This window comes from Homo sapiens, chromosome 17 (assembly GCF_000001405.40).
Source record: "Homo sapiens chromosome 17, GRCh38.p14 Primary Assembly".
NCBI lineage: Eukaryota > Metazoa > Chordata > Mammalia > Primates > Hominidae > Homo > Homo sapiens.
Genome location: NC_000017.11, coordinates 7,715,834 through 7,736,328, shown reverse-complemented (window position 1 = coordinate 7,736,328; position 20,495 = coordinate 7,715,834). Strand labels below are relative to the sequence as shown.

At 47.7% G+C, this 20,495-nt stretch overlaps 1 protein-coding gene across 8 annotated transcripts in view; it reads right to left on the bottom strand.

Annotated features, from left to right (window-relative positions):
* Positions 1 to 18,585, bottom strand: part of DNAH2 (dynein axonemal heavy chain 2) — a 115,999-nt gene extending 97,414 nt beyond the window's left edge. For 5 of the 8 annotated variants that reach the window (XM_011523663.2, XM_047435425.1, XM_017024219.2 and 2 more), the window contains exons 1-7: positions 18,498 to 18,585; positions 16,429 to 16,608; positions 12,640 to 12,701; positions 9,037 to 9,207; positions 3,014 to 3,242; positions 2,036 to 2,146; positions 1,621 to 1,859 (exon numbers count right to left, since the gene is read on the bottom strand). In XM_011523663.2, the coding sequence (XP_011521965.1) occupies positions 1,621 to 1,859; positions 2,036 to 2,146; positions 3,014 to 3,242; positions 9,037 to 9,207; positions 12,640 to 12,701; positions 16,429 to 16,594 (978 nt within the window). In that variant the 5' untranslated portion in view covers positions 16,595 to 16,608; positions 18,498 to 18,585. Of the gene's footprint in view, positions 1 to 1,620; positions 1,860 to 2,035; positions 2,147 to 3,013; positions 3,243 to 9,036; positions 9,208 to 12,639; positions 12,702 to 16,428; positions 16,609 to 17,529 lie in introns of all 8 variants that reach the window. The other 3 variants (XM_047435424.1, XM_011523667.3, NM_020877.5) reach the window with 2 other exon arrangements.
* Between the last annotated feature and the right edge of the window lie 1,910 nt (positions 18,586 to 20,495).

The window sequence follows — 20,495 nt, the reverse complement described above, 5'->3', positions numbered from 1 at the left end:
TTCTGGCTCAATTCCCTTAATGCCCAGCTGAAATTTTCACCTAGGAAGACAGGTCTTCTATCTGTATTCTACAGGCCACTCTTACCTCCTGTGTGACCTAGCACTAACATAATCAGCCTGTCACATCATATCAAATTTTTTTTTAATGTTTATTGCCCAGGTGTGGTGGCTCACACCTATAATCTCAACACTTTGGGAGGCCGAGGATCACCAGGAGTTTGAGACCAGCCTGGACAACATAGTGAGATCCTGTCTCTACAAAAAATTTAAAAATTAGGCCGGGCGAGGTGGCTGACACCTGTAATCCCAGCACTTTGTGAGGCCGAGGCGGGTGGATCACCTGAGGTCAGGAGTTCGAGACCAGCCTGGCCAACATGATGAAACTCCGTCTTTACTAAAAATACAAAAACTAGCCAGGCATGGTGGTGGGCACCTGTAATCTCAGCTACTCGGGAGGCTGAGGCAGGAGAATCGCTTGAACCCAGGAGGCAGAGGTTGCAGTGAGCCGAGATCGCGCTACTGCACTCCAGCCTGGTCGACAGAGCAAGACTCTGTCTCAAAATTATAATAATAAAAAAAATTAACAATTGAGCTGGGTGAGGTAGCTCACGCCTGTAATCCCAACACTTTAGGAGGCTGAAGTGGGTGGATCACTTGAGCTCAGGAGTTTGAGACCAGCCTGGGCAACATAGCAAAATCCTGTCTCTACAAAAAATACAACAGTTAGCCGGGCATGCTGGTGCACACCTGTAGTCCCAGCTACTCAGGAGGCTGATGTGGGAGGATCCCTTGAGCCCAGGAGGTAGAGGTTGCAGTGAGCCGAGATCGTGCCACTGCACTTCAGCCTCCAGCACCCTGTCTCAAAAGGAAAAAAAAAGAAATGAAAAGAAAAGAAAAAGAGCCAGGTGCGGTGGCTCACGCCTATAATCCCAGCACTTTGGGAGGCCAAGGTGGGTGGATCACCGAGGTCAGGCATTTGAGACCAGCCTGACTAACACGGTGAAACCCCGTCTCTACTAAAAACACAAAAATTAGCCAGGCTTGGTGGCGGGCACCTGTAATCTCAGCTACTCAGGAGGCTGAGGCAGGAGAATCCCTTGAACCTGGGAGGCAGAGGTTGCAGTGAGCTGAGATCGCACCACTGCACTCCAGCCTGGGCAACAGAGCCAGACTCTGTCTCAAAAATAATAATAAAAAAGAAAAGAAAAAGAAAAAAAGTATTTATCCCTTTTCCTTGGATTTTCCTTGGAAGGCAGATTCAAACAAAGAAAAAAGGTATTTATCTTGTAATTCCTGGACTGAACCACATGAGCTCATCTTTGGCTCCCACGCTGTCTAGTAATCCTGTTTTGGGTAATCTTATTTTCCCAGCTGGGTGGCAGGGGTTGTGCTCACAGAAGGTACTTGATGTATATTTATTGGTTAACTTGATGTCTCTCTCCTTAGGGACCCTCTATTCTACTATTTTATACTCTCCTGCAAGTACAAGGCCGAACCCTGGGTGGGTCAGTCTGTGCTATCGAAGATTGCCTTGGCTCCCTCTCCTTACTTAGCTCCCTGTATCATCCCAACCATTGCCCACTTCTTGCTGAGCCTGAATCCTTTGATTCGCTCACAAACCTGGATCTGCTGTGCCAGTTTCATAAAGGGCGCCAAGTAGGACGACTTGGCAAGGTGCAGGATGGATTCAACGTGCTTCACTCCCTTCTTCACCAGCTGCTTACTGATGCCAGACAGGTCCATGCATCGGTTGCGCCAGAACTCAATCTCCTCCAGAGGACCTAAATTTTCTCCTGTCTCCACAGTCTCCTGGGCACTGAGCATCTCCTTTATCTGCCGGGTCCAGTGGATCATGGAGGCTGCAGGGGAGAGTACAAAATCTCCTTCGTTTCTTCACACTGCTTCCCAACAGCATCCTTCACTCCCCGCAACCCCGACAGAGACCTCCTAACCCAACTCCATTGTCAGCATCCGAGCCTCCCCTTTCCCTCTCCCCTGTGATCGCCAGGTGATGCTAGCAGTGCCAGCCACTCACTCTCTAGCCGTTGCACCAGCTCTTTGTCCTTTATCACCATCTCAGGCTTCATGTTCATGGCCTCTGCAGGGATGTAGAGGACCGTGTGCCCCTCCAGTTTGTACCGAGTGTCTAAGGAAAGGAAAGTTTGTGGAAGTGGACAGAGGGGATGAGTTCTTGCTGGCCCCGTAGGAATCACGGTTGATGATCGGTAGGGGACCAGGAAGCATATGCATTTCAGGAGAGCAGGTAGAAGAAATGGTGACTCATGCTTTTTTGATATCAAGAAATGACCAAAGGCAAGAGGGAAACCTCATGGAGTTATAACAAGAAATTGCCATAAAATAAGGTCAAAGATCTGTATCGCGCCTTCAACACTCTCTACCACGAGACATGTGAGTCCTCCCAGTGTCCCCACAGCACCTATATTTCCCTTTCCCCCACATGTGCTTTTAGAAATTTCCAAGTCTAAGTTGAAGCAGGTCTGGCCAACAAGTTCCACAACAGAAAAGTGTGTCTGGATTAGAAAGCGGATCTTGGCAGGGTGTGGTGGCTCACACCTGTAATCCCAGCACTTTGGGCGGCCAAGGCGGGTGGATCATGAGGTCAGGAGTTCGAGACCAGCCTGGCCAACATGGTGAAACCCCATCTCTACTAAAGATACAAAAAATTAGCCAGGCGTGGTGGCATGTGCCTGTAATCCCAGCTACTCGAGAGTCTGAGGCAGGAGAATTGCTTGAACCCAGGAGGCAGAGGTTGCAGTGAGCCAAGATCGCGCCATTGCACTCCAGCCTGGGCAACAGGGTGAGACTCCATCTCAAAAAAAAAAAAAAAAAAAAGAAGAAGAAGGCGGATCTTGTACCCTATTCTACCAATTCGATAAGCATGCTGAATACTTCCTCCTCCACACAGGTGCTCAGACGAAGGACCCACCACTTCACTAGTTGTACAGTTGGGGGACACTAAGGAGAAACTAGTCACTCCGGTCTTCCCACTTACCTGTCAGGCAGGCCAAGAACTTGTGCAGATGAGAAGCAAAATGATTTCTAATGCTCTCAGGCCAGCCTGTGTTTGCAAAGATCTGAGGGGCAAAGACTCCACCGAGCAGCCGAAGCAGGGCCGGGATATAGGGGCCCCGCACCGTCCCAAACTGCACAGTTGCCTCGAAGTTCTCCCAGGTGATGGGAACTGGTGCTTGGCGAATGAAGTAGACAAGCTGGTTCTGGGTCTGCATGGAAGACAGCAGATCAGAGTTCAGTCTCCAGGCCCAGCCATGACACCCAGTCACAAAAGCCCGGCTGAGTTCTTTCTCACGTCCCTCAGGGTATCCTGATCCTTCTCTAAATGGAAGTGCCATGAAGTGCTTCCTGTTCTTTTCACGGATATGATTCCATATCCAGAGATGTGGGGAGGAAATGCAGAGAGTATGCCTTGAGAGTAGGGACTGTACATTTTGTCCAACTAGGCTCCAGAACCTAGTACACTGCCTGGCATAGAGTAGATGCTCAATAATGTTTGTTGGATGGATGAACGGATCGATAGAAAGAAAGGATGGAATGGAGGAAGCACTTCAGCCAATGGAAAAAGCAGAAAGGAGAAGGACTGGAAGGAAGAGACAATTGTCTAGGGTTTTCCATTTTGGTTGCATATATTTCTCCCAAAATTTTACACATATGCTTCAATTTTGCTTATGGCTTTTGTGGTTTACGTACAAAAGCATATATCTTTCATGTAATTAAATATAAAATTCCTTAAAGTTCTGACTGCTACATATTTAGAAAGGCCATTTCCACCCTAATATCAGACTCACCTGTTTCGTTTGGGTTTTTTAGTGCTTTTTTGACTAGTCTTGGCAATTTTTTTTTTTTTTTTTTTTTTTTGAGATGGAGTCTTGCTTTGTCACTCAGGCTGGAGTGCAATGGTGCAATCTCAGCTCACTGCAATCTCCGCCCCCCGGGTTCAAGCGATTCTTCTGCCTCAGCCTCCCGAGTATCTGGGATTACAGGCCCGTACCACCACACCTGGCTAATTTATATATTTTTAGTAGAGACGGGGTTTCACCAGGTTGGCCAGGCTGGTCTCAAACTCCTGACCTCAGATGATCCATCTGCCTCGGCCTCCCAAAGCGCTGGGATTACAAGCGCGAGCCACCATACCCGGCTGACAATTTATTTAATTTTAAAAACAAAGTAAAGCACAAGGAAGAAATTAATAATCATCTGTCTTCTTACTACCCAGAAATAAAATAAATATTGGCATTTTGTGTCCTTTTTTTTTTTTTTTTTGAGACGAAGTTTCGCTGTTGTTGCCCAGGCTGGAACGCGATGGCATGATCTCAGCTCACCACAACTTCCGCCTCCCGGGTTCAAGCGATTCTCCTGCCTCAGCCTCCCGAGTAGCTAGGATTACAAGCATGTGCCACCACGCCCGGCTAATTTTTGTATTTTTAGTAGAAACAGGGTTTCTCCATGTTGGTCAGGCTGGTCTCAAACTCCTGACCTTAGGTGATCCGCCTGCCTCGGCCTCCCAAAGTGCTAGGATTATAGGCGTGAGCCACTGTGCCCGGCCATGTCCATTTTTTTAAAAGTTTAACAACTATTATTTTTGTGAAGATGACATACGTTAAATATAAATAATTGAAACAATGCAGAAAACTACAAAGATAAAAGTTAAAATGTCATCTAAAATTCCACCACCTAAAAATTAATATTGTTAATATTAGAGAAAACATTATTCTACATATTTTTCTATAGCTATATACATATAGAAAATTAAATTAAAATCATTATTTTTAAATAGGAGCAAGCTGTTTTTAATTAAAACTATTAAATTTAATTTTACTTGAATTTAAGCAAATAAAAAGAAATAGAAGTAGCTATAAAGGAATTCCTGAGCTTCAAATAAATGTTTCTTCATCCAGAAGAGAGGTTTCTTCCCAAAGGATCCCTTTCTATGGTGGTAAGAAAAAAAGATTATGAAAAATATTATGAGTTTTCTCACTAACTTTCAATTTTGAGTTCTATTAGCTCACTGCTTTGAAAGACCCAATCCAGAATCTAATCCAAGATCACACATGGTCATGTCTCTTAGTATCCTTTAATTTTAAAGCACTCCCCAACCTTTTTCTTTCATGGCATTGATTTTCTTTTTCTTTTTAATTTAATTTAATTTAATTTAATTAATTTATTTATTTATCTGAGACACAGTCTCACTCTGTTGCCCAGGCTTGAGTGCAATGGCGTGATCTTGGCTCACTGCAACCTCTGCCTCCCTGGTTCAAGCGATTCTCCTGCCTCAGCCTCCCAAGTAGCTGGGATTACAGGTGCACACCGCCACGCCCAGCTAATTTTTTTTGTATTTTTAGTAGAGACAGGGTTTCACTATGTTGCCCAGGCTGGTCTTAAACTCCTGAGCTCAGGCAATCCACCCGCCTTGGCCTCCCAAAGTGCTAGGATTACAGGCGTGAGCCACCGTGCCCAGCTCATGCTTTTTAAATTTTAAATTTTTTTTTTTTGAGACAGACTCTCGCTCTGTCACCCAGGCTGGAGTGCAGTGGCACAATCTTGGCTTGCTGCAATCTCCGCCTCCCGGGTTCAAGCGATTGTCTCATGGCATTGATATTTCTAATAGTCCAGGCCAGTTTTCTTTTCCCAATATGTCTCTTAATTTGGATTTATTGGATTGTCTCCTTATTGCCAGATTCAAGTTAAATATTCTTAGCAGGATTACCGCATAGGGGATATTCCTAAGGAATTAATTTTTCCTACAATTGAGTAGCTTAGCCAAGATGTGCAACAAATTTTGTGGAATACAGTGTGTCCTTTTTGATTCCCAGATTCAGTTCCTTCTGCATTTCAGGGAAATTACTTGTATTTTATCTTTACATTTATATTGTTTCATTTGTTGGCTCTCTATACAAGATCATCTATGTTAGTCTTTCGTATCTGTTAGCTTCTCTAATTGTGTTAATGTCCTTGGCTTTTTCTTCTGCATACACGGTGATTACCTCAAGCCTCTCCTCTGTCAGTGATAGGATTTTCTGGGTTAGCTATTCAGTTCCTTGCTATTTCCAATCTACTGGTTTTATAACATGCTGCTTTATTCATTTCCTAAAATCTGCAGTCTCCCTTTTATCTTATTCTCACATTTTATCATTTCAGGGCTCAGCTTTTTTTTTTTTTTTTAATTGAATCCCTGGTCTTATTAAGTTGTGGTAGAACATGGTACTGTTGTGAGGAATCTCCTCCTGTTCATTCAGTTATGTTTTCCTCTTTTGCATGCTTTGTTCCTCTTTTTTCTTTGATGTAATGCACTTGCAGTTACCATGCAATTTCTTTTCATTTTGCTCGTGCTTGGGCAGCAAGCATGTGAACTCATTCTTTTTGCTCTAATGTACTGTGGGTGATTTGACCTCCCACTGTGAGAGACCAGTTTATTTTTGCCCCTGGAAGTTAAAGTGAAAGGGTTGGGTGTTTTATGTTTTATTCACTTTTCTTTGGCCTAAGAGAATTGCCTCAGGGAAATGGACAGGTGGTTAGTGCTCATTTAAGGCAGTGAAAAATCTTTGTTAAAACACCTCGGCTCAAGCCGGGTGTGGTGGCTCACACCTGTAATCCCAGCACTTTCGGAGGCCGAGGCAGGTGGATCACCTGAGGTTGGGAGTTTGAGACCAGCCTGACCAACATGGAGAAACCCCATCTCTACTAAAAATACAAAATTAGCCTGGTGTGGTGGTACATGCCTGTAATCCCATATACTCGGGAGGCTGAGGCAGGAGAATCGCTTGAACCCAGAAGGCAGAGGTTGCAGTGAGCCGAGATTGCGCCATTGCACTCCAGGCTGGGCAACAAGAGCAAAACTCCGTCTCAAAACAAACAAACAAACAAACCTAGGCTCCTCCTCTCTCTCTCTCTCTTTTTTTTTTTTTCTTTTTGGAGATGGCGGTCTTGCTATGTTGCCCAGGATTGATTCGAACTCCTGGGCTCAAGTAATCCTTTGGCTTCAGCCTCCACAGTAGCTGGGACTAAAGGCACAGGCCTGTCTTTCTCTTTACTAAGATTTTATTACACCCTCTCAAGTTCACTCCATGTAACCAGGGGAGCACCATTCTTTGACTCAGTGCATATGTTTTTCATTGGTCTCCCATTTTTAAAGTGTATTAGATTAAATTTGCTTACTCTCAGGGTTTTTTTGTGTTTTTTTGGTTGGTTTGGTTTTTTTAATTTTTCGGTAGTTTTACTTTTTGCTCATTTTATCAGGTATTCAAGGGTAATAATTTTTAAAGGAAGTTTCAACTGGCCCTTTTGTTTTTTGTTTTTGTATTTTTTTTTGAGACAGGGTCTCACTCTGTCACCCAGGCTGGAGTGCAGTGAAGTGATCACACCTCACTGCAACCTCCACCTCCCAGGCTCAAGTGATCCTCCCACCTCAGCCTCCCAAGTAGCTGGGACTACAGGTGTGCACCATCATGCCTGGCTAATTTTTGTGTTTTTTGTAGAGATGGGGTTGCACTATGTTACCCAGGCTGGTCTCGAACTCCTAGGCTCAAGCGATCAGCCTGCCTCGGCCTCCCGAAGTGCTAGGATTACAGGCATGAGCCAAATATGATACTTTTTTATATAAAATGATCTTTATGATATTAAGATTCCTACTCCGAAACAAGCTGTGGCTCCTCATTTCTTCAAATCGTTTTTCACGGCCTGCAACAAAGTTGTTTTCCTTCATATAAATCATACTTTTATATTAAAATGTATATTCAAATATAAATATATTTTGCAAATTGTGGTTCCTTTTGCGAATGAAATCTTTTTTCATTGTTTTGTGGCTGATTACTGCCAGTGCACAGGGCAAAAGTTCTTCTGCCCATGTTCAACGCAGAATGCTTCACAAATTGCGTCATTGTTTCACAGGGCCATGCCAATCAATCTCATCCTTTCCACTTTTGTATATGTGCCGCCAATATGAGCAAAGCAACAGCCTTTTAAGTTTTCCAACATTTTTTTTCCAAAATTTTCAAAGATATATACAGAAAAGTTCAAAGAATTTTACAGTGATGACCTGTATGACCACCACCCAGATTCTACCAGCAACATTTTACTATCCATCTGTCTTTTAACTGTCTCCCTACCCTAGGTCTACCCTTGTCTAATGTATTCTCCACACTGTTGAAATAGTTATCTATCTAAACTATAAAAGACTTCAATAGCACTCTCTGGGATAGCGGCCAAATTCTCGAGTATAATATACAAGGCCCTTCATAAGCTGACCCCAAGCCCCTTTCAGTATCACTTCCCACTACTTCTCTTTTCTTTGTACGTAGAGTGGTCTTTGCTGAATAGCTCTTACCTAGTCTTGATGGAATCCCACTTACCCTTCATCCCAGCTCAAATAGCACCTCCACCATCAAGGCTTCCCAGAATTCCACTGGCTCCATTAGTTGCTCCCATAACGCTCCTATAAAGCTTTGCCCATGATCACAAACTATAGTAAATATTTGCTTATATGTCTGTCTTCCCCACTAGACCAGGACAACATTCTTTTTTTTTTTTTTTTTTTTTTTTGAGACAGAGTCTTTCTCTGTCACCAGGCTGGAGTGCAGTGGCATGATCTTGGCTCACTGAAACCTCCGCCTCCCAGGTTCAAGCGATTCTTCTGCCTCAGCCTCCCAAGTAGCTGGGATTACAGGTGTGCACCACCACGTCTGGCTAATTTTTGTATTTTTAGTAGAGATGGGGTTTCACCATGTTGGCCAGGATGTTCCCGATCTCCTGACCTCATGATCCGCCCACCCGCCTCGGCCTCCCAAAGTGATGGGATTACAGGCGTGAGCCACCGCGCCCAGCCCATGACAGCGTTCTTGCGTCATCCTTCTTCCTATCCTTGCCACCAAGTAGGGTGCCTGACACAGTGGGGCTCAATAGGCCGTGGGCACAGGAGATGACAAGACTTAAGGATGATGAAGGAACTGAGAGCCCTCGGCTCTCTGTAGGACCACCTTTGATCTGGGAATGTAGGGTACGCACCTGTACAGGCATGCCCAGCTCTAGCTTCAGCCCAAAACAAGGGTCAATGAAGATGGTGAGGATGGATTCTGTAGGGTCCTGGGCAAAGTGTTCCAGAATGGCATCATGCTCCTGTGTCCACACTGCATCCGCCAGTCCTGTCAGCGCAGCTCGGGAAAGGAAGAGGGGCTTCTACAGAAGGAGAGCAGAGGGCCAAAGTAACTACAACTGCCAGGATGAGTCATTCCTCCCATCCACAATCACAAGTGAGGACATGGGAGATGAGAGAAGCCAGACAGGTTCAGAATGGTTAGGAGAAACTGAAAGATAGCTTTCCAGCTTTGGAAGAAACAGAAAAATAAGATTTCTTGCCTCTAAGAGTAATAAAACAAACAAACAAACAAACAAACAGATCACAGAGGAAAACTGGGATATTATCCACCCAATGCAAGAGATTATCTTTATGCCTGTAGTTTTTAAAAATGTCAGCCCTCGATCTCAAAGGTAAAGGTGAATTAAGGGAATGTGTAGGATATTAGCCTAGATCAAGCAATTAGGAGCAGGGAGACCACAAGCTGGAAAAGGGAGAGGGTATAGGAGCAATTTCTTCACGATGGAGTCCAAAAGAAGTGTAAAATACTAGGTAAAAGTCAATTGGTACAACATTAAGGAAAAAGTGAGGAGGGAAAAAGACACAAAAACACCAAAGAGGGCTGGGCGCGGTGGCTCACATCTATAATCCCAGCACTTTGGGAGGCCGAGGCAAGTGGATCACCTGAGGTCGGGAGTTCGAGACCAGCCTGACCAACATGGAGAAACCTTGTCTCTACTAAAAATACAAAATTAGCCGGGCGTGGTGGTGCATGCCTGTAATCCCAGCTACTCGGGAAGCTGCGGCAGGAGAATCGCTTGAACCCAGGAGTCAGAGATTGCAGTGAGCCGAGATCACACCCCTGCACTCCAGCCTGGGTAACAGAGTGAGAATCTGTCTCAAAAAAAAAAAAAATTAGCTGGGTATGGTGGCTCATGCCTGTAATCCTAGCGCTTTGGGAGGCCAAGGCGGGTGGATCACCTGAGGTCAGGCATTCAAGACCAGCCTGGCCAACATGGTGAAACCCCATCTCTACTAAAAATACAAAAATCAGCCAGGCATGGTGGTGGGTTCCTGTAATCCCAGCTACTTGGGAGGCTGAGGTAGGACAATTTCTTGAACCCGGGAGGCAGAGGTTGCAGTGACCCGAGATTGCACCACTGCCCTCCAGCCTGGGCGACAGAGCAAGACTCCGTCTCAAAAATAAATAAACAAACAAATAAATAAAGGAAATCAGAAGATATGAAGATACAGATCAGTGAACTTGCGAAGTCTTTTCATCTTTCCTCCTGGAAGAAGGAATCTCTCTTAAAGTTTCCAGGTCAAGAAAAATTAATAGTGATCTAAAATCTTTCCTATAATACATATAGACAGGATGAACCAATAAGAAAAACACTAAAAACTCAATAAACAAATAGACAAAAGGACCTGCATAGATATGTCATTTTTAAAAATGCAAATATAAAAAAAAATTGGCCAGGCGTGGTGGCTCATGCCTGTAATCCCAACATTTCAGGAGGCCGGAGTGGGGGTGGGGGGTGGGGGCGAATCACAGGGTCAGGAGTTCAAGACCAGCCTGGCCAACATGGTGAAACCCTGCCTCTACTAAAAAAAATACAAAAATCAGCCGGGCATGGTGGCATGCACCTGTAATCCCAGCTACTCGGGAGGCTGAGGCAGGAGAATTGCTTGAGCCCGGGAGGCGGAGGTTGCAGTGAGCTGAGATCGCGCCACTGCACTCCAACCTGGGTAACAGAGCAAGACTCTGTCTCAAAAAGAAAATATATATATATATATTCACTTGAAGTCAAATACAAATAAAATAACAAAGAAGGCCAGGCACAGTGGCTCACACCTGTAATCCCAGCACTTTGGGAGGCCGAGGTAGGCGGATCACCAGAGGTCAGGAGTTCAAGACCAGCCTGGCCAACATGATGAAACCCCGTCTCTACTAAAAATACAAAAATGACCCCAGCATGGTGGCGTGTGCCTGTAATCCCAGCTACTCAGGAGGCCGAGACATGAGAATCACTTGAGCCTGGGAGGCGGAGATTGCAGTGAGCCCAGATCGTGCCACTGCACTCCAGCCTGGGCAACAGACCAAGACTCTGTCTCAAAAAATAATAATAATACAAATAAAATGTTTTGTGAAAAGGTTTAATACAAAATCATAACATATGGGCTAGGCACGGTGGCTGACACCTGTAATCCTAGCACTTTGGGAGGCCGAGGCAGGTGGATCAGCTGAAGTCAGGAGTTTGAGGCCAGCCTGGCCGATATGACAAAACCCCGCCTCTACTAAAAATACAAAAATTAGCTGGGCGTGGTGGTGCATGCCTGTAATCCCAGCTACTTGGGAGGCTAAGGAGGGAGAATCACTTGAACCCCAGAGGTGGAGACTGCAGTAAGCCAAGATCATGCCACTGCACTCCAGCCTGCTCGACGGAAGCAAGACTCCATCTCAGAAAAAAAAAAAAAAAGTAACATATGATAAAGTTAGGATTATACAAAAACAAACAAACTTACAAACCTGTGCACAAAAGTAAAAGATATATCAAAATATTGTTTTTTTGTTTTTTTGGGTTTTGTTTGTTCGTTTGTTTTGAGACAGAGTTTTGCTCTTATTGCCCAGACTGGAGTACAGTGGCACGATCTTGGCTCACTGCAACCTCTGCCCTCGGGTTCAAGCAATTCTCCTGTCTCAGCCTGGCGAGTAGCTGGGATTACAGGCATCCGCCACCACACCCTGCTAATTTTTGTATTTTTAGTAAAGATGGGGTTTCACTATGTTGGCCAGGCTGGTCTCAAATCCTGACCTCAGGTGATCCACCCACCTCGGCATCCTAAAGTGCGGGATTACAGGCTTGAGCCACCGTGTCTGGCCAGACATATCAAATATTAATATTAAATGTGTTTGGGCAGTAACACCATGAGTCTTATTTTCTCTATTTTACTTTTCTGTCTCTTGCCATTTTTTTCTTCGATAGTTATTACTTTTCTTTCCCTTTTTGAAAAATGTCAAGGTCATCACTCTATTCTTCTCACCCAGGTAACTATGGTCATGACTAGGCTTTGATGCAACTTGGAAATAAAGAAGCAGAGGTCATTTAGTGCCATTTCTCAAAGTGACTGAAGCAGCTTCTGTAAATTCTTCAGCCAAAGGAAAGAACTGAAGGAAAGGTGGAAAGAGCATGTCTTAGAAATTAGTATCCAATTAGGACAATATCTTCCCAGCTCATTCAACTTGTTCAGGTGTTCACCCGCATGATGAATAAGCTCATCACAGTTTGACCCAAGGTGGGGAGACAAGAGAGACCTGCGCCTTACTTAAAGCCCTCCTCTGTCCTGGCGAAGGCACAGATGACTTTGTCTTTTACTCAGTGAACTGGATTTGTGGTGAGTAGGCTAACAGCAGAGAGCAAGTAGAAGAAGTGGCAGACAAGAGAGAATTCCTCATGTGCCATCCACAACTGATCCTTTGATTCACCAGTTTTGGGGGAGGAATATCTGCCACAGGGAAGACCCAAGCCTACCACATCTGCCTCGGGCTCCACTGATTCTTCACTCTGTGCTTGAGGTCCCTCCAACCGTGGCTCTAGGAAGAATAAACATACAAAAAGGAAGGCATTTCTTGGAAAGTTAAACACAGTCAGCTGGGCGCGGTGGCTCACACCTGTAGTCCTAGCACTTTGGGAGTACTAGGCGGGAGGATCACCTGAGGTCAGGAGTTTGAGACCAGCCTGGCCAATATAGTGAAACCCCGTCTCTACTAAAAATACAAAATTAGCCAGGTGTGGTGGCGGGTGTCTGTAATTCCAGCTACTTGGGAGGCTGAGGCAGGAGAATCACCTGAACCCAGGAGGCAGAGGTTGCAGTGAGCCATAATCGTGCCACTGCCCTCCAGCCTGAGTGACAGAGTGAGACCCTGTCTCAAAAAAAAAAAAAAAAAAAAAAGCCGGGTACAGTGGCTCACACCTGTAATCCCAGCACTTTGGGAGGCCAAGGCGGGCGGATCATGAGGTCAGGAGATCAAGACCATCCTGACTAATACGGTGAAACCCCGTCTCTACTAAAAAATACAAAAAATTAGCCAGATGTGCTGGTGGGAGCCTGTAGTCCCAGCTACTCTGGAGGCTGAGGCAGGAGAATGGCGTGAACCTGGGAGGCGGAGCTTGTAGTGAGCCGAGATTGCGCCACTGCACTCCAGCCTGGGCAACAGAGCGAAGACTCTGTCTCAAAAAAAAAAAAAAAAAAAAAAGGAAAGAAAAGAAAAGAAAGAAAAGAAAGAAAGCTAAACACAGCCACCCAATGACCCAGCAATTCCACTTCTAGGTAGAGACCTTGAAAGCAAGGACTCAAAGAGAGATTTGCATTACAGCATTCGTAGCAGCATTATTCACAATAGGCAAAAGGTGGCAACAGCTCAGTGTCTTCTAACAGAGGAATGGATAAACAAAAGGTGATATAAACATGCAGTGGGCTATTATTCAGCCATCAGAAGGCATGGCGGTGTGGTTCATGCTACAACATGGATGATCCTCGAAAACACAGTGCCAAGTGAAAAAAGCCAGTCATGAGAGACCACTCGATGAAATGTCCAGCATAGGCAAATCCATAAAGACAGAAAATAGATGAGCGGTTCCTGGGATCTGCGGGGGAAGGGGGAATCAGGAGTGACTGCTAAAAGACGAGGCTCTGATGCAACTTACAAGTAAAGATATAGGAGTCACCTGGTGCCAATTTCTCAAGGTGCTTAAAGTGGCTTTCTTTTGGCGGGATAAAAATGTTCTAAAATTAGATAGTGGGAACGTTGCACAGCTTTGTGAATATACCAAAAACCACTGAACTGTAGACTTTAAAAAGGTAAATTTTAGAGTCAGTGAATTCTCTGTCAATTTAATGTAAAAAGCTGACTGGGGGCCGGGCACGATGGCTCATACCTGTAATCCCAGCACTTTGGGAGGCTGAGGCTGGTGGATCGCCCGAAGTCAGGCGTTCGAGACCAGCCTGGCCAAGATGGTGAACCCCCCCCCCCGTCTCTATAAAAATACAAAAAATTAGCCAGGCATGGTGGCGGGTGCCTGTAATTCCAGCTACTCGGGAGGCTGAGGCAGGAGGATTGCTTGAATCCGGGAGGCAGAGGTCGCAGTGAGCCGAGATCACGCCATTGCACTCCAGCCTGGGTGACAGGGCAAGATTCTGTCTCCAAAAAATAAAAATAAAACAAACACTAACTGGGGTAGGGGTGAGGGAATGAAGGCGGTTAGTACTGAGGTTATTCCAGGCATACAGCTTCTGGCCCTCCATCTTCCCCCACTCCTCTTCCCACATGGAGAAGTTGGGGCTCATAGGAATCAGCCCTTCTCCAAACCACTGGCCTGCTGAGCATTCAGTTCTGCCACACCCACTCTGACTCCCATAAAACCCAGCGGCTCTGTTTCTCTGCCTCCTGATCTACTAGTCACACAGGAGATTGGAGTAAAACTGGTGGCTTTCCCATTCCCCAGGGGCTGAAAGGAGGAAGGAACAAATGAGATATAACCAAAAGACCATGAGGAACAGGAAACTCCCTCTGGCTTCCAGAAAGGAAAACTAAGAGGGGAATGAGGCACAGAGGCCGAGGCAGGAAGGCGTGAAAAGATGGAACAGGCGATTCCGGAGCTTAGTAGTAGGTGAGTAGGTGAGATGATCCAACTCCCTTGGGAAAACTGCTGGCATTCAGGTTCCAGGCAAGAACTAGGCCAGGGGAGACTGGGTGCGGTGGCTCACGCCTGTAATCCCAGCACTTTGGGAGGCCGAGGCAGGTGGATCACTCGAGGACAGGAGTTCGAGACCAGCCTGGGCAACATGGTGAAACCCCATCTCTACTAAAAATACAAAAATTAGCCGGGTGTGGTGGCACACGCCTGTAATCCCAGCTACTCAGGAGGCTGAGGCAGGAGAATCGCTTGAACCCAGGAGGTGGAGGTTGCAGTGAACTGAGATCGCACCACTGCACTCTAGCCTTGGCAACTGAGAGAGACTCTGTCTCAAAAAAATAAAAAAAATAAGCTGGGCATGGTGGTGTATGCCTGTAATCCCAGCTACTTGGGAGGCTGAGGCACAAGAATCACTTGAGCCCGGGAGGCAGAGGTTGCAGTGAGCTGAGATTATGCCAATGCACTCCAGGCTGGGAGACAGAGTGAGAATTTGTCTCAAAAAAAAAAAAAAAAAAAAAAGAAAGAAAGAAAAGAAAGCTTGGAGCTGGGAGAGGCAGAAATCCTTGCTGTTCGAAGGCCAACACATTCATTTTAAAGCTCCTTCCCTTACCTCCCCAGAGGATTCTCCATACTGAACCTCACTGTCTTCCCTCCCATCTTCCCCTACTCCTCCTAGCAGCGAGCAATCCCATTTTAACTGCTTTCACCTGAGCACTTCAGAACTCAGAAGGATACATTCTGCACATTTCTAAGATCCTGGAACCTAATGCAAGTTCTTATGGCCCAGGGACTTTTCTCCCATGCCCACGCTTAACCTCTCAACCTTTAATTTTAGAAGGGGATTCTATTTCACAAGCTACTATCAGTGTAAAGGAGCTCCAGGTAAAGAAGGAGGTCTACACTTAGCTCATAGTCCTGTCTACACTGACCAGTGCTCTCAGGGAGATCCCAGCAATAGCAACAACTACCAAAAACCTTCCAACCTTACTGGCTCCGGCTCACCCACAGGAAAGGAATCCCTCAGGTCAAAGCCACAAGAGGCTGCCTCGTTAAACTCTTTCCTCCCTAGATCTAGACTTCTTTCCTGTCATCCTGAACCTGAACCTCCGCAGTCTACCAAGTCCCTGCCAAAATGAGGGCGGAGATAGAACAGCCCTCAACAGATGGTAGAAAGCATCAGCCGGGCTTTGGATTCAAAGGGTGGCAAAACAGGCTGAGTCTCCATGGTGATGGGCTTAATGGGAGAAAAACATTATTTGTTTTGCCACCCAGGGTGAAAATGGGAAAAAGGAAGAGATCAAACCCTCTTCAGTGGGGTAGGAGCAACCAGGAACACTTGAAATAAGGAGGAAGAGGCTAGAGAAAGGACTGGTTGGTGAACTCCTGGTATATTGTGGGAAATTTTAAGACAGAAAGAACAAGGATGAGGCTGGCCAGGAGGAAGACATACAAAAAAAGGACTCAGTGGCAGGGCTGCTGAACCTCCATGGCTGGGGGCGTCACTTAGCCCGTTTCCTGCCCAGAAGCAACAGCGCCTGCTCCCCAGCCCTAAAATGCCTCCAAGCCCCTCTGACTTTCCCCACCCTCCATTGCTAAGCATCCTCTGCCCCAGCAAGTACCCACCAGGCTCCTCCTTGGGGAGCTCAGCCTGCAGCTCTGGCTCACTGACAGCCGGGGCATTCCCCTGCTCCTGTGTGGCCACAGCAGCCCGAGTGGCCCGCCCTGACCAGCTTGCCTGGGAGCTTCCTCGGCCACTCAATCGCTGCTTCTTCTCAGCTTTGCTGGACATCGTGCAGGCAAAACCTACAGGTATACAGGAGTGGAGAGTCTACAAGCAGATACCACCCCTGAACCAGCCCCCTGATACAAGCAGTCCCTTTTGAATTCATAAATTGACTGAAACTCAATATGATCATCTTTTCTGGTGGTACCCACACCCTGCTCCATTAACCACAAGGGCTCTGTACTCCACAGGGGCCTGGGAGGCCTTGCTGTTTTTCCCTAGGATATCCTACTGTCTTCGGGGCACTGGGCTAAAAATCAAAGTCAGTCCCTCAAGGCACTAGGAACAAATGGGAGTTAAAGATGATGGCCAGGCTGGGTGCGGTGGCTCATGCTTGTAATCCCAGCATTTTGGGAGGCCGAGCCGGGTGGATCACCTGAGGTCAGGAGTTCGAGACCAGCCTGGCCAACATGGCAAAACCCCGTCTCTACTAAAAATACAAAAAATTAGCCAGGAGTGGTGGTGCGTGCCTGTAATTCCAGCTACTCGGGAGGCTGAGGCAGGAGAATCTCTTGAACCCGAGAGGTAGAGGCTGCAGTGAGCCAAGATCATGCTACTATACTCCAGCCTGGCTGACAGAGTGAGACTCTATCTCAAAAAAAAAAAAAAAAAAGATGGCCAGACACCCCACTAATGAGGATTTAGAACCTCTATCTCTGCCCCGGGGTATGAGAACATAAGATAATCAGGAAAAGATCTATCAAGCTGAAGTGTGGTTGCCCAAACCCTCATCCACTCTACCCTCCAGGACCATGAGTGAGTGAGAGAGGATCAAGGAAGGGGTGCACATCCCCCATCCTTTGTCACTGTTCAATCATTCAAGCAAACCAAGATGATTTTCCTATGTACCTCTTTTCCTCCCAAGTTAAATGGAAATATGCTCCTCCCAATCCCACTAAAATCTGCAACATCTGTAAACAGAGAAAAACAGTATTTGCCACCTGGGTCTATCGCTTTGAAGTCCTGAGGGGCAGGAACACTGTTTTGTGTGTACTGAGGTCTCTTAGCAGAGTTGGCTGAGGAACTCTGTGCTAATGGTTAAGATCAGTCAGGATCATTTATTTGACTCAAAATGCCCTGAGAACAGATTGGAAGAAAGAAGGACAAAAGTCATCCAATCATAAATTTCAAATTGTGTCATGAGGAAAAAGCAATTGGGGCACGAGGAAGGTCACAGTGGTGCCTCTCTCAGAAAGGTAGGATGGCAGGAAGCGGGGATCTCGGACAGGTGCTCAGAATCCCAGGCGCAAAGTCTGAGGCGCTGGGCACTCTCTTTTCATTAGGCTGCAGCCTAACGGCACCTGTGGCTCTCCTTCCTCATCCCCACAGGCTGCCACAGGCATTGATCTCAGGTTATGAATTTCAAACTTGAAGGATTTGTACTTTGCTCCAAGGAAAAACGTTCTGTTAGGCCAGCAAATCAATAAAACCAACTACAGCAAGGAGGCTTCCTCCATCAGTCTCCAGAGAAGCATCAAGCTGCGCTTTCCTGCCTCAAACTAGAGCCTGAGGCGCATGCACCGTGGGGTTCACCACGCGATCCCACACCGCAGGCCCCAGGAGGAACTGCTCTGCTAAGTCGGGGCTCACTCTAGTACTAGGAAATACCGCAGGGGCCAGCAGTATTTATCCTGCAGTATAAATCCAGCAGTATTTATCCAGCAGTATTTATACCAGCAGCTGGTATCCTTAAACTGGTTACCAGCAGGCAAATTTCCCCTCAGAATGGCTCTTCCCCCCCAGCTGTCACAACTGCCCCTTCTCCTCCCCCTCCCCCACACAAATATTCCTTGCTCCCTCTCCCTCCACAACTGCCTCTTCTCCCCAACAACTGTCCCTTCCTACCCCGACACTACTGCCCCTTCTCCCCAGCACTCCTTCCCTCCTTCCCTCTGCCCCCGACACACACCTTGCCACGCTGACCCTCCCCTCCCTAGACCGACCGATGGGCCACTCTAAGAAGTTGCCCCTCGCAGCCCTCTCGGGCCGGCGTCTGCACGCGTCCCCATGGCAACCCCGGGCAGGGAGGGGCGAGTGGCCGGTGTGCGGCCCCTCGGAGCCCGCCTCCTCCGCGCAGGCGCCCTGGATCCCTGCTTCGCGGCCCCACCCCGCCCAGGTCTACCCCTCAGGGACCCAGGGCTTGAAGGCTCCGGGACTAAAGGAAAGTAGCCACATCTGGCGAGCCGAAGGGTGCGGGGGGCCTGGTGTCAGGACCCAGCTGGAAGGGCTGGGGCGAGAGACAGTGAGCCACCGCCCCGCAGGACATTGAAAAGGCAGGGAGAACCCAATCGCCCGACCCCGCGCCCAGGTCTGTGCGCCCCAGCCGGAACGGGTCCAGCAGATGGCGCCGGGCGCCAGGCCGGCGAGGGATATTCGCGATGTAGAAGGCGTTCCAGGATTTCCAGGCAGCCGTGGGTGCAGCTGGATCCGGGGGAAAAACCGGGCCTGGAGCACCCTTGCCCTCCTGCTCCTTCCCCCTTCTTAGTTCGGATTGGGGTCTAGGATTGCGGGGGGGCGGCGCGGGGCGGGGAAAGGGAGGGAAGACGGGAACTGGAGTTTTGGGAATCTGAGGATTGGCTTTCGAAGGCATCGCTGGTTTTTGGGGGGGATGAGAGGCGGGGACTCCCTGGGGAAGGTGACCGGGCCTGGGAGGGGCTTCGCTCTCCATAGGAACAAAGGCTGCGTCGTGAGAGAGGAGGCGAGAGGGGAGGGCTATGAGGGCCGGGGTACATCTCCGAGGGTGCCAGGGGGCGCTGCGGGCCGGGGCTGCTAGAAGGCGCCTGGAAGACCGCTGTACCTGGTGCCGGGAGGAGCTTTGGGGAGACCTGGGAAATACAGGGAGGAAGCCGAGTGGGGGGATGGGAAGGCGCCCTCCCTGTTTCCATCAATAGTGCCTAATTAAGACAAAGCCAGCAGCGAGCCCACTGATTACATTTCCATGAGGAGCGAAATTTATGACATTTTCTTTGCTGGATGAGGAGAAGAGAAGCTGGCACCTCAGTTCCCCCATTTTCTGTTTGGCGTTCACACCTAACAGATCTCATTATGCCAGCCTGGCACTACCAGGAGTGGCAGTCCCTGGTACTCCTGAAGAGCAAGTGGATTAACCACACCCTATCCCAGCGCTGACCTCACCCTCCCACCTACCGTATCTTTATTCCCAGAAGTGTCAACCCTTTCCCTCCCCCCGACCCCCAATAATTCCTCCTGCCCAGCCAGACTCCTGTTGCTGACAGCAGGAATGGAAGGAGAGGAGTACCGCCCACCCCAAAACCAGCTGCACAGCTAGCACAGCTAAGATGGAACGTGGAGGTGTTCCTCTAGCCAGATAGGCCATGGGTGGCAGACAGAGGTGATGTGGTTGGCCAGAACCCCTAGGGAAAAGTCCCAAAGGAGTGAAAATTTGCTGGAGGCGTGGGGTGGGGAGCCTCAGGGGCAAGGTTCATGGGTCCCTCGGGGAAAGGAACTTTGCACAGACCCCATTTCTTTTCTTAAACCCCCCTCCCCAACTGTGGCTGTGCCTACGGATCCCAGCCCCCCACATTATGCTAAATAGGTAATCAAACATCTCGCTTTGCTAATTACTGCTCAATCCGATTAAACGCTGCTGAAGCTCATCAACAGAGGTGGAGGTAGGGGGAAGGGACGAAGGCGGGGCAACCACAGCTAGCTATGATGGGGGTCTTTTCCCCAGGGGCTCTTCGGGGCTAGAGAAACAGCCAGGGTTGCAAGACCGTGTACATCCCAAAGGAAAGGGCAGAAGAGTTGTGACCTCGAGCCTCAGCCTTGCTGCACCTCCCAGCCACGGCCCTTTTCCTCCTCCCAGAACCTTCATTACCCTCCGAACCCAGGCATCCGGCCATTCCCACAGCTCCCCACACACATCCCTGTCCCAGATTTAATAAGT